The sequence below is a fragment of the Homo sapiens genome, chromosome 3 (genome assembly GCF_000001405.40).
Source record: "Homo sapiens chromosome 3, GRCh38.p14 Primary Assembly".
Classification (NCBI taxonomy): Eukaryota; Metazoa; Chordata; class Mammalia; order Primates; family Hominidae; genus Homo; species Homo sapiens.
The window spans coordinates 190,643,350-190,662,112 of NC_000003.12; the positions used below are offsets into that span (position 1 = coordinate 190,643,350).

General features: G+C 36.7%; 1 protein-coding gene across 13 annotated transcripts in view, besides 1 other annotated feature; it reads left to right on the forward strand.

Annotated features, from left to right (window-relative positions):
• Window positions 1-16,401, forward strand: part of IL1RAP (interleukin 1 receptor accessory protein) — a 145,666-nt gene extending 129,265 nt beyond the window's left edge. For 11 of the 13 annotated variants that reach the window (NR_157352.2, NR_157353.2, XM_047448081.1 and 8 more), the window contains 3 exons: window positions 899-1,048; window positions 2,350-2,493; window positions 4,989-8,165. Coding sequence is in view for 11 of the 13 variants with exons in the window: in XM_047448081.1 (XP_047304037.1) it covers window positions 899-1,048; window positions 2,350-2,493; window positions 4,989-5,356 (662 nt within the window). In the remaining 2 variants the exon portion in view is untranslated. Of the gene's footprint in view, window positions 1-898; window positions 1,049-2,349; window positions 2,494-4,988; window positions 8,166-12,539 lie in introns of those variants that run through there. The other 2 variants (NM_001167931.2, NM_001364879.1) reach the window with 1 other exon arrangement.
• Window positions 2,514-3,086: an enhancer, noted in NCBI's record as "NANOG hESC enhancer chr3:190363652-190364224 (GRCh37/hg19 assembly coordinates)". NCBI's record gives its function as "activates a minimal SCP1, AML or CMV promoter by ChIP-STARR-seq in naive H9 embryonic stem cells {active_cell/tissue: H9 hESC(naive)}" and the evidence as "EXISTENCE:reporter gene assay evidence [ECO:0000049][PMID:30033119]".

An 18,763-nucleotide genomic window follows, 5' to 3' on the forward strand; every position in this document is an offset into this window, starting at 1 on the left:
AATCTTCCTGATGTTTTTGATGAAAAAGCAATGGTAAATGAGAAAGGAAGGAAGGTGGTTAGTAATTTGGTTGTGACAGACCTTGATTATAGGGCTAATGAGTTAAGATCTGGTTTTTAAGTACTGGAGAATTACCTCACTCTATTTCTGATACTTCCAAAGAAACTGCAAAGGTGCCTAAAATATAAAAAATAAGTAGATAATGCAGAAATCTGTTCACAATCAGATATTGCAAGTTCACCTCTAGAATATGTACTGAAGAACTGTGAACATGGGAAATAACTTCCAGAACCAAGCATATTCAGCATCTGGTGGATGTCCTTTGCTTTTGCACAGTGAAAATAATGTTTTTGAGGCCGATTTCCAAGTAGAAAGGAAAGACAATTAAATTCCTTTCATACTACACTAGACAAGAGAATGAAACTATAGTGGAAAAATATTGAGATTTTTACTCAAATCAGCTGCATCAACAATTAAAATTCTACCAATACCGTGGACTTCTTCAGGTAGCAATGAGAACTCCATCCCAAGATATGGACCGAGGATGGAATGATAATTTTCAAAAATATTTGTAAGGAGGTTTAGGTGTCAAATTGTGACTTGAATTTGATGACCTTCTAAGCCCTTCCTGATGTTATGATTCTGTTTTAATTTATATATTGTCAAAGACTATTCAAATAAAAAACACCTTCTATGCCAGGTGCTGGAAACAAAAAGATAAACATAACACAGTCTAGTATTTTAAAATAGTGCTAAACTCTACAATGTTATCTCTGATTGTTCATACATAGGCAGGTGCATAGCTAAGCTGCTTGGCTTATCCAGCTATTTGCCGGGATGGTGGGTCACTGTGGTCACCACACAGAAATCAATTCTGTTTCTTTGTTGTTCATTCCAGTGCCAGCTCCAAGATACACAGTGGAACTGGCTTGTGGTTTTGGAGCCACAGTCCTGCTAGTGGTGATTCTCATTGTTGTTTACCATGTTTACTGGCTAGAGATGGTCCTATTTTACCGGGCTCATTTTGGAACAGATGAAACCATTTTAGGTAAGTAACAGAAATTTGACATAAACCTCTTCTACTGTCATCTTTAGAACATATGTTGTAAAAAAAAGAAAAAAGAAAACATGTTGATTTGAAAAACCTAGATTAACTGGAAGATTTAAGCAGATTAACTTTAATTTCAACCGTTGCTATTAGAAATCTTTCCGAAGATTATTATTCTATTTTCTTGGATTAATTAGTGAGTCGGTCTAAATTAACACCCTCCAAATAGAAATATAATGCGAGCCACTTACCTACTTAAAATTTCCCAGTGACCACATTAGTAAAAGTAAAAAGAAACAAGTAAAAATAACGAATTGACTAAATATATTTATAATACTATTTTTTAGCATGCAATTAATATTAAAAAGCTAATGAGATATTTTAGTGTTTTCTTTGGTACTAAAAATGTTCAAAATGTAAAATGTATTCTACTTTATCCTTATAGCACATCTCAATTCAAACCAGCCACATTTCGAGTGAGCAATAGACTCGTGACTCGTGGCTGCTGTATTGGACAGTGCTGATCCACACTCCTTGTACTCAGATAGAGATCTGTGAACCAGCAGCAACATATCACGTGTAGCTTATTAGAAGAAGAATCTTAGACCTAGCCCCTACTGACTCAGAATCTACATTTAAACCATATTCCCAAGTGATTCATGTGTACGTTAACATCTGAAAAGCACAGCTCTAGTGCAAATTTGCTTAGTGAAAAGAATAGAGCATTTAAACATACAAATTCATAGGTCCACCCCATAAAGATTTTAATTCAGTAGGCTTATGGAAGAAACACGGAATCGATAGTTTTTAATGAGATGTGATTTTTCTAATTAAGCAACTTCGTGAAAGATTGGTCCATTAAATCTAATTATATTTTTAATTTTAGTTCTTTTCAGATATAAATAATTCAGGCAGTTTCACAAGGTTTTACTCAATTTGTAATTTTAAGATATTAATGAGTGATAGGCTTGGACAGGAAGTTGAAATTTTCTCTACAGTGTTAATTGCCAGTACCTATGATTTACCTTCTGGCTTTGTTAATTTACAGTTGAATGGGACAAACCTCACTCTTTTTCCACTGTAAAGCAACCTGTAAGATGAGAGTTGAGGATATATCAGATAACATTCAAAATTACATCTTCAAATAGTCGTTTTGCGTGGAGACTTGTTGCAAGTAGAAAATCGCACTGGAATCTGTCACATAATGAAAATGTCTAATATGCAGAAGTTAGATTTAAGAAAAATGTAATGGTATTGAGAAACTTTCCTAATTTACATTGTATCTGTGTTCCTTTTGCTAGATGGAAAAGAGTATGATATTTATGTATCCTATGCAAGGAATGCGGAAGAAGAAGAATTTGTATTACTGACCCTCCGTGGAGTTTTGGAGAATGAATTTGGATACAAGCTGTGCATCTTTGACCGAGACAGTCTGCCTGGGGGAAGTAGGTATTTCAGAGGAGTACAAATGATGCTACCTTGAAAGGCAGACAGAATCATTAGTTTTGCATTATGGGAGAGAGTCATGGCACAGCATCTTTGGATATTTAATGTCCGATGCTCTTTGATGTAACAGACTCCTCTAGAAATAAAACTACGTTGGAAATGTATACTATTCAACTCAGTTTATGGTATTAAAATATTTTCCCTTGCAATCTTTCAGAGATGCATGTCAGAAAAGCATGGAGGCACAGTGGATTAGAGCTCTGTTAAAGGGCCATAGCTGTAAACATCCTGTTTATTCACATTTAGATTTTTCGGTTTAGGCTAATCTACACTGGTTGGTCTAGAACTGTTTTACAAGACTGAGAATTTTTTTTTAAAGCAGTTTTATTTTGGTTTTAGAAAGACAGAGGTTTACTTGGTTTTACTAAAAGTGAGTGGCGGAAGAGTGTGGGTAGAATTTTTCCTTATGTGATTCACTGATAATAATTACAGTATTTTCCTGTGGCATTTGCTCTTTTTTTTCCCCCTCACTTTTCTTTTCAAGCAAAATAGTGCTACTCAAATTCCCCTTTTCCTTGGGTCTATTTCTTCTTCCTGTCAGCTTATACATTTGAGGGTTACTTTAAAATTTTATAATAGCCAGTGTAACTAGAAGGTTTAAAAAGAAAGGAAATGCCTAAATTCTTGAATGTGTTAAAATAAAAGTACAACTCCTTTTTAGATCCGCACAGTAACACACAAAGTAATTTTTCATTGGTGTCTTTTTAATAAATATATAAGTTACATTCCCAAACCCACTGTTAAACTTTATCCTGTTGAAATGCTTGTAATATATCTAATCATAAGCAAGACAAACCAATTTTACTCCTCTAAAATCCTGTCTACATTCATCATTTAACAGTTTTTTTTTAAATATTGCATGGATAATTGAGATAGACTTGAAATTTTATTCTCATTTTGATTTAGTTGGATCAGTTATTTTATCTTCCCAATCATCAACCAAAAGTCCATCATAAGATGTTTCTTTCAGTATAATTTTTCCAGGAAGTTATGACTTAATTATACAGTTAAAGGATAAATTCCACTCATTTTAATACTTAATTTCCCCAGTCATTTATTCACCCATTTATTTGTTCGTACAGCCATTCAATAAATACTTATCTACCACGGAACTGGGTAAGACCCTCCAATAGGGGTTGATAATTCTTTGAAGAATTCACATTCTGCATAATTACTCTTGCATCTTGCATTTGTTAGTTAGCTTTTGCTTCCTTTTTTATTCTCCCTGCCGCTCTTACCCAATCTTCTTTGACTCTGGGTCTCTTGCCATGCTTGCACATGCTCAGCCTCCAGTGCCACTGCTTGGAACACACAATCATTCCTGGATTCTCCCCCAGGCTGTGCATGCTAGATTTTAATCACAAGGCTTTCCCTACTGTTTCTGAACCTGTGAAGATTAAGGGGCAAAATGACTTCATAAAGGAATATATCAAGACATGATATAAGTTTCCACAATTCTAGTAAGTTACCTAGAGTTGGCAACCATCTGAAACACAGGTAAAGGACTATGCAATCCTCGATAAGCAACTGTGAGGAGATGGATTGGTTCCAAGAATTTAGTGACAGAAACTAATCAGGGCCCTTGACAGCAGAATAAAATTACATGGCATTTCCAGTTTTCCTGCTTTTTCTTCTTTTTTCGTTGAAGAAAGCATTTGCCTGTTAGTGCAAGTAGACACATCATCTAGCAGCTGCCGAAACACATAGCTTTATAGTAATGGTCGGAGTTTGAGGAGAAAGATCCAGCGATTAATTTAGGCTCCAGGGGAGAAAGAAGTAGAAAGCCCACCGAGGATGTGTTACCAGCCAAAATGCCATTCAGTTGGCTAGATTTTGTTAAGCTTCTAGTCTAAGGACATAGTGATGTTAGAGTCAGAGAGGTATCCAACAATAGAGAGGGACTTTCAGAAGATGAAGGTCTCTAACTTTGTTGTCCTGTCCTAGCAAAAGATAAAATTCTATTTTTTTGATTATATAACATATACCTTTTTGAGTGTCCATTGGTACTAGAGAGTTTATGCATGGTGCATGGGTTTCTTTGGTGAAGAAAGGGCTCATGAGCTGACGTGGCTAGACCATAAGATGCCACACACTTTAAAGAAACTGCTTTCAGTATAATGTGTCTACTCCTTGTGTCTCAAGTGTTGTTTTTGAAGATCAAGGTCACAACACTATACTACCTTTTGGCTTCATGCCTGTTTGGAATTCTTTTTAGAAATATGTGTATATAGTTTCTGTTTTCCCTGAAGACAGTGGTATTTAACAAAGAGAGTTTGCAGGTATAAGGATTAAGTTGTTCACATTTTTGCTGGTAAAATGTTTCACCTCAATTCTTAGGCTGGTACCCTAAGTTCCCTACATTTGCTCCTCAAGCCTCAATGCTTTTGGGGAGTTTTTGGCCAACACTAATCCCCATGGTTGTTTTCTTTCCCAGTTGTCACAGATGAGACTTTGAGCTTCATTCAGAAAAGCAGACGCCTCCTGGTTGTTCTAAGCCCCAACTACGTGCTCCAGGGAACCCAAGCCCTCCTGGAGCTCAAGGCTGGCCTAGAAAATATGGCCTCTCGGGGCAACATCAACGTCATTTTAGTACAGTACAAAGCTGTGAAGGAAACGAAGGTGAAAGAGCTGAAGAGGGCTAAGACGGTGCTCACGGTCATTAAATGGAAAGGGGAAAAATCCAAGTATCCACAGGGCAGGTTCTGGAAGCAGCTGCAGGTGGCCATGCCAGTGAAGAAAAGTCCCAGGCGGTCTAGCAGTGATGAGCAGGGCCTCTCGTATTCATCTTTGAAAAATGTATGAAAGGAATAATGAAAAGGGTAAAAAGAACAAGGGGTGCTCCAGGAAGAAAGAGTCCCCCCAGTCTTCATTCGCAGTTTATGGTTTCATAGGCAAAAATAATGGTCTAAGCCTCCCAATAGGGATAAATTTAGGGTGACTGTGTGGCTGACTATTCTGCTTCCTCAGGCAACACTAAAGTTTAGAAAGATATCATCAACGTTCTGTCACCAGTCTCTGATGCCACTATGTTCTTTGCAGGCAAAGACTTGTTCAATGCGAATTTCCCCTTCTACATTGTCTATCCCTGTTTTTATATGTCTCCATTCTTTTTAAAATCTTAACATATGGAGCAGCCTTTCCTATGAATTTAAATATGCCTTTAAAATAAGTCACTGTTGACAGGGTCATGAGTTTCCGAGTATAGTTTTCTTTTTATCTTATTTTTACTCGTCCGTTGAAAAGATAATCAAGGCCTACATTTTAGCTGAGGATAATGAACTTTTTTCCTCATTCGGCTGTATAATACATAACCACAGCAAGACTGACATCCACTTAGGATGATACAAAGCAGTGTAACTGAAAATGTTTCTTTTAATTGATTTAAAGGACTTGTCTTCTATACCACCCTTGTCCTCATCTCAGGTAATTTATGAAATCTATGTAAACTTGAAAAATATTTCTTAATTTTTGTTTTTGCTCCAGTCAATTCCTGATTATCCACAGGTCAACCCACATTTTTTCATTCCTTCTCCCTATCTGCTTATATCGCATTGCTCATTTAGAGTTTGCAGGAGGCTCCATACTAGGTTCAGTCTGAAAGAAATCTCCTAATGGTGCTATAGAGAGGGAGGTAACAGAAAGACTCTTTTAGGGCATTTTTCTGACTCATGAAAAGAGCACAGAAAAGGATGTTTGGCAATTTGTCTTTTAAGTCTTAACCTTGCTAATGTGAATACTGGGAAAGTGATTTTTTCTCACTCGTTTTTGTTGCTCCATTGTAAAGGGCGGAGGTCAGTCTTAGTGGCCTTGAGAGTTGCTTTTGGCATTAATATTCTAAGAGAATTAACTGTATTTCCTGTCACCTATTCACTAGTGCAGGAAATATACTTGCTCCAAATAAGTCAGTATGAGAAGTCACTGTCAATGAAAGTTGTTTTGTTTGTTTTCAGTAATATTTTGCTGTTTTTAAGACTTGGAAAACTAAGTGCAGAGTTTACAGAGTGGTAAATATCTATGTTACATGTAGATTATACATATATATACACACGTGTATATGAGATATATATCTTATATCTCCACAAACACAAATTATATATATACATATCCACACACATACATTACATATATCTGTGTATATAAATCCACATGCACATGAAATATATATATATATATAATTTGTGTGTGTGTATGTGTATGTATATGACTTTAAATAGCTATGGGTACAATATTAAAAACCACTGGAACTCTTGTCCAGTTTTTAAATTATGTTTTTACTGGAATGTTTTTGTGTCAGTGTTTTCTGTACATATTATTTGTTAATTCACAGCTCACAGAGTGATAGTTGTCATAGTTCTTGCCTTCCCTAAGTTTATATAAATAACTTAAGTATTGCTACAGTTTATCTAGGTTGCAGTGGCATCTGCTGTGCACAGAGCTTCCATGGTCACTGCTAAGCAGTAGCCAGCCATCGGGCATTAATTGATTTCCTACTATATTCCCAGCAGACACATTTAGAAACTAAGCTATGTTAACCTCAGTGCTCAACTATTTGAACTGTTGAGTGATAAAGGAAACAAATATAACTGTAAATGAATCTTGGTATCCTGTGAAACAGAATAATTCGTAATTTAAGAAAGCCCTTATCCCGGTAACATGAATGTTGATGAACAAATGTAAAATTATATCCTATATTTAAGTACCCATAATAAATCATTTCCCTCTATAAGTGTTATTGATTATTTTAAATTGAAAAAAGTTTCACTTGGATGAAAAAAGTAGAAAAGTAGGTCATTCTTGGATCTACTTTTTTTTAGCCTTATTAATATTTTTCCCTATTAGAAACCACAATTACTCCCTCTATTAACCCTTCACTTACTAGACCAGAAAAGAACTTATTCCAGATAAGCTTTGAATATCAATTCTTACATAAACTTTAGGCAAACAGGGAATAGTCTAGTCACCAAAGGACCATTCTCTTGCCAATGCTGCATTCCTTTTGCACTTTTGGATTCCATATTTATCCCAAATGCTGTTGGGCACCCCTAGAAATACCTTGATGTTTTTTCTATTTATATGCCTGCCTTTGGTACTTAATTTTACAAATGCTGTAATATAAAGCATATCAAGTTTATGTGATACGTATCATTGCAAGAGAATTTGTTTCAAGATTTTTTTTTAATGTTCCAGAAGATGGCCAATAGAGAACATTCAAGGGAAATGGGGAAACATAATTTAGAGAACAAGAACAAACCATGTCTCAAATTTTTTTAAAAAAAATTAATGGTTTTAAATATATGCTATAGGGACGTTCCATGCCCAGGTTAACAAAGAACTGTGATATATAGAGTGTCTAATTACAAAATCATATACGATTTATTTAATTCTCTTCTGTATTGTAACTTAGATGATTCCCAAGGACTCTAATAAAAAATCACTTCATTGTATTTGGAAACAAAAACATCATTCATTAATTACTTATTTTCTTTCCATAGGTTTTAATATTTTGAGAGTGTCTTTTTTATTTCATTCATGAACTTTTGTATTTTTCATTTTTCATTTGATTTGTAAATTTACTTATGTTAAAAATAAACCATTTATTTTCAGCTTTGAATTTTATTTTGTGCATGTGTTTTATGTCATTTGGTCATTTGGTCATTTCACATTTGGTCATAAGTGAAAACAGAAAGAATTTATTATATTCACAAAGAAATATAATAAGTTACATTAGTTAAGTGTCTTTCTGAGATAAATCTGAGTAAAATGGGAACTTCTTATCAAGAACATTTTCTTTACATGGAAGTAAAAGTTACTTAAGTAAAATGAATTGTTCCAGAATACTAGGACATATTTTATGGGTGTATATGTGTTTATGTGTGTATGTGTATGTGTATGTGTATGTGTATGTGTGTATGCAGAGAGACAGAAAGACTGTCAAAAAGATGGAAAGATACAGAGAGACAGAGAAAAAGGAGAGAAAGATTATTTTAATACAAAGGAAAACAAGCTTATTCCTTTTTACTCAACTTGGAACTTAGGTCGTTTACAGGAATATTTTTCATCTAATAGGCTTTAACGCAACCACACGGTAGTTGCTTTGGAAATAGATAAAACTAATGCCATGACTTTAGTTAATTGATGATCATTTGAATCAAAGATGCATTTCTGTTACAAATTTTGAATAAATCAGTGATTAATATTTGGAAACATATTTTATTTTCGGTTAATAATACAAGTCCATAGTGACAGGGATGCCTTTTTGCTTTAAAAAAAAAAATCCCTGGCCAGGCGCGGTGGCTCACGCTGTAATCCCAGCACTTTGGGAGGCTGAAGCGGATGGATCAAGAGGTCAGGAGATCGAGACCATCCTGGCCAACATGGTGAAACCCTGTCTCTATTAAAATACAAAAAATTAGCTGGGCATAGTGGTGCACGCCTGTAGTCCCAGCTACTCGGGAGGCTAAGGCAGGGGAATCGCTTGAACCCGGGAGGCGGAGATTGCAGTGAGCTGAGATTGCACCACTGGACTCCAGCCTGGCGACAGAGCGAGACTTCAGAAAAAAAAAAAAAATCCTATTTGTTCATTTTACTGAGCCCTGTAACATGCTCAGAATTGGTTAGCTTAGTAAAGGTTCTTCTACTGAAGAATTAATTTTCCTTTTGCAAACCAGCCCCAAAAGTGTAGGCTTAGGATCAACGGATCGAAGTTACAAGGCAACAGATTTCTGCTCAGTTAGAAAATAGCTGTAAAGCAGAGTTCGACACTAATGGAATTCACTATCTTTGGAAATACTAGGCCTGCCATTACCAGAGGTATATAAGCATTTATTTGATAGATTTTCATTGAGATTTTGTATATGAGTTTTTTGCACTGGATAAGTGGTTTTGAGTCTGAAGTTGTTTCCAACCCTGAACGTGTTAAGTGACCTACTAGAACATACTGGTGACTCTTTGGAAGATTCAACTTCAGCATTTTGCATATGATCTACCTGGCTGTGATTAACCTTCCTTAAACTCTCAAGATTTTTTTTTCCAGTATATACTGATGTCACTAGCTCTTTAACGCAAGTAAATACACAGTATGGTATGAGAGACGGGTTTAGCAACTAGTCTATCTTATTTCTCTGTTTCTACTCAAGGAATATAAAGTAACCTTAGTAATGAGTTAGGAGATGGAGTGTTTTAGTAGTAATTTTAATCTACATCTATTTAAAACTGAATAGACAGAACTTTTACACACTATTACTCTTATAAATCCACATAGTAAGATGATATTTTAAAGTTAGCATTAATAATTGATACAGATTCAATAAACATTAGTCCATATATGATTTTACTATTGTGTTCACTAGACGTTGAGCAACAGTAATTTAATCAAAGTGATTTATGCAATGTGTACTGTGTGCTAGAAATTCACATGTAGGCATCTAATTTGTTTATCAGCCCTACGAGTTTACTTTATCATATGCATTTTATAGATGGATGAACTAGGACTCAAAAGATATTAAGATACAAATAGGGATAAATGGAGAAAGCAATATTTGAAACCACATTCGTCTTCCAAGTTAAATATTTCCTTTTTTCTATACTTCAAGTTTTAATAGAGAAAATGAAAGAGACAGAGGTTTGCTGTTCTTTTATCTACTAATAACTCATCCAGAGGAGAAAAAAAAAAATGACCATCCTAGTTTTCTTCTAAGTGAACTCCATGGAAGTTATGACTTTTACAGGCAAGAGTATTCTTGAGTATTGAAGAGTTCTCAGTCATACAACATGACTTCAAAGCCAATTTAGTACCACACAAGAAAACAAATCTCATTATTATATGGCCATACCTCATTTTTTGAGCCAAACAGAATAAATGAGCTAAATTACTACTCCTCCAAGTAAACTTTAGCATTAAAAATAATAGCTCCTGTCCTCAAATATGAAGTTTTGGCAATATAGAAGGTATTTTAAAAATATGCAATAAAGCATGCAACTCCCTTTACAGTATTAAGTGAAGATCCTTCGGTATAGCCCAGGACCTTTCTGAGAAGCATCTCCTACATGTGTTTCTCAACGTCTAAAATTCCGCCACTCTTACCTGCATTTAGCATTGTCCTCTTTCAAATCTAAACTTCCTCACTTTCTGGATGGAGTACCAATAAAAAAATTAAAGAGCAACAGACTCAAAAGTCATTTTTTAAGAAGATCTGGAACAGTGTTTGTTGTATTTTAAACAACAATATTCCTATTGGCAAAAACATACATTTTCCTAAGGTGACTGTTTTGAAGTGAAACATCATATCACACACACACACACACACACACACACACACACACACACAATTTGCATGAGTTCTCTTTGTTGACAAGCTAGCCATGTTGCCTTAAGGTTATTTCACATTTCTCAGGAGCCAGGAGAAGCAGTAGACTTCCCACTTTCATATTCTCTGATTTATGAGAGGCAGCCTCTTAAGATTCTGAGTAGGACTAGAGGGGACTGAGGAGTTGCTAAAACACATGCACATGTGCACACACTCGTACACACAGAAGGGTTTTAATGATAAACGAGAATTTAAATTTATCTCTTAAGAATGAATGAAACAAAATGTCTCTAAAAACATTTTTGCACTCCTGCTTAAACCAATCAAAAGTTCTCAAAACTTGAGCACGTGTCTCTCCAATTTCCCTTCAAATTCATGTTAAATCCACTGATTGAAAAAAACAAAACTATAATCTGTAAGAAGCACAGCTCCCTTATTCCCTGTCAAGTTCACAATGACCAATGCAAACTTTCAGTCTGTCTTCCAAGGCTGAAAACTCTCTCCGTTACTGTTTCGTCCCTGGACCAAAAGCAGAGGTGTTCACCCTCACACGGTGACTCTGGCACATGTTTTCAAAGTTATAAATGGCTAGGATTTACAATTTTGAACCTTTTTCCTTCAGGATATGGCATGTTCTAAGCTCCTAAATCTCACAGTGAGTTAAGCATTACATTTATTTGAAGAACTTTCCCTTGGGATCTGTCCAAATCCACTTTGATACCATTAGAATCGAATGGTTTGCCAGAAGTCTTAGCTACTTGACTAATTCTTACCCATTTTCATTGTTTTTGCCCCTTTAATTCCAATTCTTCACACACAGACGCACACACACACGCACCACACACACAGAAAAAAGAATTTAATTGATAACAAGATAAATACTATGAACTACTATGAACTGTCCGATGTTGTGTCCAAAAATGTTAAGTATCAAAGGATATAACTGAGAATCTTAGGAGGTGATAATTCCTGTTGCTCTTTGCTGATCAGACTATGTCAGGAGCATTATGTTCACTCCTGTTCATAATACTACTCTTAGAAGACACATCTATAAACTGAACATTATCCAGAGGAAAATGGTAAACATGCAGAGGAGACATGAGGCCATGTCATTTATGGAATAAGAGAAATATCCTGAAAATATTTAATCCAGACATAAGAAGAAAATACTACAAAGATATAAAAATGGTTTTCAAATATTCTAAACATTTAAAGACTCAAGATCTGACCACCAGATAACATTTGCGAGGAAGAAGATTTCAAAACAAGAAATAATTTGTAAACAGAGCTGAAATGACTTGCTTTTGATGGTGGCTAATATTTTGAGGGTAGTTACTCAATTGCCCACCGTGTGTGTGTGTGTGTGTGTGTGTGTGTGTGTGTGTGTGTGTGTGTGTTTTAAGAAAGACTTATTGAAGAAGGAGACTACTGCAATGAGGGTTTTGCAGTAGGAGAGAGAGACTGAGCTCAACTACCATACCATCCTTGAAGGCAGTAAATTCTTAGCAACCATTGACAAGAGTGGTGTAGATTTTTTTGACTGGGTAAATTATTCAGCACTGAGATTCTGTCATCTCAAGTGTTTGTTCATTCCCTGTCCTCTGGAGGATGGACAATAACGAACTGGAATATATGTAAGTTTTCACTATACATTGTCCTATATTTCCATTTTCCTATAGATACAGTGGAAGCAGTTTTTGATTTCATTCAGAGAAGCAGAAGGATGATTGTTGTTCTGAGCCCTGACTATGTGACAGAAAAGAGCATCAGCATGCTGGAGTTTAAACTGGGTGTCATGTGCCAGAACTCCATTGCCACCAAGCTCATTGTGGTTGAGTACCGTCCCCTTGAGCACCCGCACCCAGGCATTCTTCAGCTCAAAGAGTCTGTGTCTTTTGTGAGCTGGAAGGGAGAAAAGTCCAAACATTCTGGCTCTAAATTCTGGAAAGCTTTGCGGTTGGCTCTTCCCCTGAGAAGTCTGAGTGCCAGTTCTGGCTGGAATGAGAGCTGCTCTTCCCAGTCTGACATCAGTCTGGATCACGTTCAAAGGAGGAGAAGTCGTTTGAAAGAGCCCCCAGAACTTCAGAGCTCAGAGAGGGCTGCAGGTAGCCCTCCAGCCCCAGGCACAATGTCCAAGCACCGAGGGAAGTCCTCCGCCACCTGCCGCTGTTGTGTCACCTACTGTGAAGGAGAGAATCACCTTAGGAACAAGAGCCGGGCAGAGATTCATAACCAGCCCCAGTGGGAGACACACCTCTGTAAGCCTGTTCCCCAAGAGTCAGAAACTCAATGGATACAAAATGGCACCAGATTGGAACCCCCTGCTCCCCAGATCTCAGCCCTTGCTCTTCATCATTTCACGGACTTATCCAATAACAACGACTTTTATATCCTATAATTACTGTGTGTGGTGGGTGGTGGCTACTATCTCTACCAACCCTCTGTATGTCATGAACCTGTGGGAAAATCTGACATTTTTATCATCTAATGGACTATCAGATTTCTGTCCCCTTTATTGATTTTTAAAAACTATTTATTTCTAGGAGACAAAAGACCTGAAGGACCTGAATCCAGAATTATTGCCTCTAAAGGCCTCAGAAGAGCACACTCTTCTTGGGCCCTAGAAGGTCAGTATGTGAAAGTTGCCTAAAGTCTGATCCTCTATCTTGTCCAATGGTTTAAAACTGAGCTAAGAATTTAAATGTGTTTCTTTTCAGTGAGTTGATCAACCTCACATTATAAGTCAGTCAGGTGTACTTGGGCTATGATGCTTACAGGGTGTATGCATTCCCAGGGAGCAGCATGGAAAGGAGCTGGTTCTGGTGGAAGCTGTAGGACGAAGCTCAACAGAAAACCTACAGCACATTTTTCCTCAAAGAACCAAACATACCCACCCAGGGATACATGGCGTTCTCTGTCTCACTGTAAACTAGTGTTCTCTAAACTGCCTAACATTGTTAGCATCAATAAAATTCTATTTTTACGTCATTTTATTTGTACTAACAAATTTTTACATCTCTCTCACCCTTCTACTTCCTATGATTGTTGTATTCTTATCTGGAGAGTATTCCATTTCAGAAAATGGAGATTTGGTTTAGGTACCAGAAAAACTAAGATGCCTTTTTTGTTTCTCTCTGATATGTAATGGGAGAGATGTGGAAAATAACCAAAAGAGAGGGAGAATGTGACTTAAATGAAATGGAAGTTTACAACAATCTCATATTTTTAGAACTGACAGATGAAAAATTCCGTATTGTAAGTGATGTAGCGTAGAAATAGGTGCCTTCGTCCCATTCAGGCTTCTGAGAAGGGATAATAAATTCAAGTGCCTACAAGGATCAGAAGGTAAGAGAAAAGAGAAAATATGGCCAGATACCAGCTTATTTTACATGCTCTCCATCTAGAACTGATGTGAATAGGGACATAGGCACAGATAGTTATTTCTTCTCTGTAAACATTTTCATAAACTCATATAAGGCACATGGCATTTGATTTCCAAGTCAGGTAGATCATTGGCCCTCTAAGCAACTGAAGAACACATATTTCTTAAAAAGGGTCAGCTTCAGGCCGGGTGTGGTGGCTCATGCCTATAATCCCAGCACTTTGGGAAGTCAAGACTTGTGGATCAACTGAGGTCAGTTGTTCAAGAGCAGCCTGGCCAACATTGTGAAACCCCATCTCTACAAAAATACAAAATTAGCCAGGTATGGTGGTGGGCACCTGTAATCCCAGCTACTCAGGAGGCTGAGGCAGGAGAAACTCTTGAACCTAGGAGGTGGAGGTTGCAGTGAGCCGAGATCGTGCCACTGCACTCCAGACTTGGTGACAGAGCAAGACTCCATCTTAAAAAAAAAAAAAAAAATGGGTAGCTTCTACTCAGTTCCATTTGATTTTTGTCACTAATTGAGCCCCAATGTTGCCATATTGTCCATTTTTTTCTAAAGAATCTAAAAAATTCAGATTTTTATGTATAATGTCAATTATGGGATGGCTTAAAGTTAAGAAGGAAAAAACAAAGAGCCAAACAAATTATATCTGTGGGACATAGTTAGCCTGAGGGCAACTAGTTTGTAATTTCATAACTAAAGTATTCAGCCAAAGAACATATCTCCAAATGGAATTTTAGTGTCCCTGATAATACCAGAACTGGAAGACACAGGTTGGCTCTAAGGACATAGTGGAGCATGTTTATCCTCTCCTCAAATTGAAGACATCTGGGCTGTTACAATTGAGCTGATCTGACCTAACCCTCCATTAGAAAAGAAAAATCTGGAAAATTCGGTGCCTTCCATTTACTCTTTAGAGGTTTCTTGCCTGCTTACTGTCAGAAAATAAGAAGAACGAAGTCTGCTACTCCTGAACATGAGCAGAACCAAAAAAGCAAGAGACCACACCTTACATGAGAAGTCACCTTTAATACATTAGCTGTGGCTGTTAGTGAGTTGTGGCCCAATGAGTGTCAGTGGCTCCCGGTCAGTAACAGTGAATGGGCAGTGGGGAAAGAAAGAAAGCAGTTTCATCTCACTACCCCTCTTGAAAATGTTCTCAGAAGATCCTTTCTTTGTCGAAACAAACAAACAAACAAAAAACTAGAAGATTCCTACTCCAAAGATGGGGGAACAAGGGCCCCCTAGAGTAAATGTGAACTCACCCTGAAACTTGTAATCAGAAAACGACAGGCCACCCTAACTAAATATCCAGTAGAAAATGACTTAGCACAACCCAAAGGCCTTGTCCTCTATTAAATCCCTTCTTGTAAAGAATAATCCATCCTTGATGTATATTCAAGAACCTTCAGTTGGAAGACAGATAGCAGTTTCTCTCCAAATCTATTAATAATGGGTAATGTAAGCGGCTCCGAAGCTCAAGGAGGGAGAAGATTCTCTGACCCACTATCAGTGTTATGCCTTATTAACACAGCATCTCAAAGTGTAAAATATCTTTGGAAGAAAATGAGAAATTAAATTTTTCATTTATACATTATTTTCTGTTTTAGTGAAGACAAAGAAATGAAAGAACTATTGGCAGAGTCATGGAAAATTAAATATGAGCTCATATTATATGAGTAGCTAGAAAATTTTGGTGCTCTCAAAACTACATTTTGGCAAGTATCAATTTCCTTGGACAATATAAGTGTAGTGGAAGCAGTAAAAGTCTTAGTTTTCAGTATTAGTTATACAGCGGTCAGAAAGATAATAGACTATACTTCTACTGTATGGAGAAAGGATCAGAGGTTATATTATTATTTCTTGACCTGACATGCCAAATTGAATGTGATGTTCAGTACCATACATTTCAATGAAGCAAATTATAATAAGAAAGAAATTTTTTTCATGGGCCATGCATATCCATAATAGAAATAACAGGATTGTAGGGTAAATGGATATATCATTGCATAAGAAATATTGTCTACTTAGTTGCATGAGTTTTAAATCAAATAGAGATGGATGTGAGTCCTACTTCTCTCCTATCTGTTTGAACATGGTCTCTCTGAGCCTCAATTTCCTACTAGCTAAAATAAAGATACTATTATCAACCTCATTGGATGTTGATGGCATTAAATGATATATTATACATTTATTTCATATGCCTCACCTTTTTTAAACTCTTGTAAAATGTCCAAAAGCAGTATAGAACAGGACCATATTATCCAGCTTAAGTGACTTTCCTAGTGACACTCAGCCAATTATCAATAGGGTTGAGTCTCCAATCCAGACTCTGACACTTGATCCACTGCCAATTCTAGAACCATCCATGTAAGATTGAAGGGGAAGTAATTCTATTACAAAGCTACCTCAGTGGAATTATTTAATCTGGGCCATAAAACATTCAAGTAAAAAAAGCAGTTAATGTAAACCCACACACAGCTAATTAAATGTTATATTAAGGGTCTGATATGTCATCTGACCTTGTCATATTATTATTTTACATGGCTTAATTTTAAAATATTATAAACTTTCTTAAAGCATTTAAAAGATAGAATTTTTTTAATGTCCTCTAGACTCTATGATAATGCTATATTTTTTGCCTTCAAAATAAATTATTTGAATTTTTCTTGGTGGAAAATAAAAATATATTCACCATTTACCTTGAAAAACAAATTTTCTTTGGCAGCTCGATAAAAACTGAATTTCAGAGTTACCTTCTCCTGTAACTATTAAGAACTCTAGTAACAATGTATTCACTCCCAGATTGAAGATTTGAAGGGGCTGGGAAAACTAATGTTTTGGTTCAGAAAAAGTCATGAATAATAAATTGAACTAATCATAAAGATATGCACAGAAGGATAAGCAATTTATATGGCATTGGTTTAAAACTTTCGTGCATCTAACTTCCGTGCACGTAACTTGAGGGACATGTTACAGTGAAGGTCCCAGGGCAGGCCCTTCCCCAGAGAGACCAATTCATTAGGTGCTGGACATTGTCTAGAAGTCTGTATTTTTATATTGTGTCCTTGATAATTAAATAGAGCATTTCATAGGTCAATGTTGAAAAACTGCTACCTATGAGAACTCTTTCAAACTCTTTCCATATTTTTTGTATTATTGCTCAGGTTGTAAGGGAAAAGAGCCGCAATTAGGAGCTTGCCCAAGCCTTCTTGATATGTATTCCTTAATGTATCCACATTGGAACCATTTGGGGCTCATATTAAGATGCATGTTATTTGACTCCATCCAAGATTAACTAAATGAGGATCCCTGATGTAGGGCGGATCTGCACGTGGAATAACTTTCCCAGGTGATTCTAATGCACACAAAAAAACAAGAACCATTAATTTTTATCTCTCTTTAACTCCTCTTTTACCCTTGTAGGCTCTGATTTTCTCCAGCCAAGGACTACAAATCATCCTCTTAACAAGGTGTTTGCAGGCAATAGATGAAAACGTAGGGCATGTTTAGCCCTCGAAGTTGCCTCAGCACAAGGAAACAGTTGAATAGATGATTAGTAGAATGTATTTATAATATATGAAATATCAATCAGTGATATTTGGAACCTGGTGGGATCGCTGTAGTCATCATATGTATTAACCAGAATAAGATATGCTATGCCATGCTAACAAAGAACCCCAATATTTCAGTAGCTTCATATAACAAGACCTATTTCTTGTTTATGCTACACGTCCAGCATAGGAGCTTACATTTTTTTTTTTTTTTTGAGACGGAGTCTCACTCTGTTGCCAGGCTGGAGTGCAGTGGCGTGATCTTACCTCACTGCAACCTCCACCTCTCGGGTTCAAGTGATCCTCCTGCCTCAGCCTCCCGAGTAGCTGGGACTACAGGTGCGCGTCACCACACCCAGATAATTTTTTGTATTTTTAGTAGAGACGGGGTTTCACCATGTTGGCCAGGATGGTCTCGATCTCTTAACCTCATGATCTGCCTGCCTCGGCCTCCCAAAGTGCTGGGATTACAGGCGTGAGCCACCGCACCCGGCCCAGAGCTTACTTTTTTTATGCTTTGCCATCTGAAATGTGTGGCTTCCTGTTGTGCTATGCTTTAGCTGAAATGTGACACTCATTACTTTCACTTACAATTCATTAGCCAGAACTAGCTCTGAGGTCCTGCTGTAATCATAAAAAAGGCTAGAAAATATAGTCTTCCTATGTCTCGAAAGAGAAAAATGAAATGAACTTGGTGAACACATACCACCATCTTTGTCTACAAATATGATGAGAATAACATATTACGGAAGCCTGAAGAGGTAAGAAATCTTCAAACTGAGATATGTCACATACTTTGCTAATGAAAAAAAAAAAAAGGGACTTTGCTACCAGTACTCCACCTCAGTTTGCCAAAGTATCAAGATAAAACAGCATGCAGAAAAGTACACCTTGTTTGTAAGTGTTCCCCAAAGAAAAGTTGTTGAAGGAATGCATAATAATAACCATAGCTTCTGGCTAAGA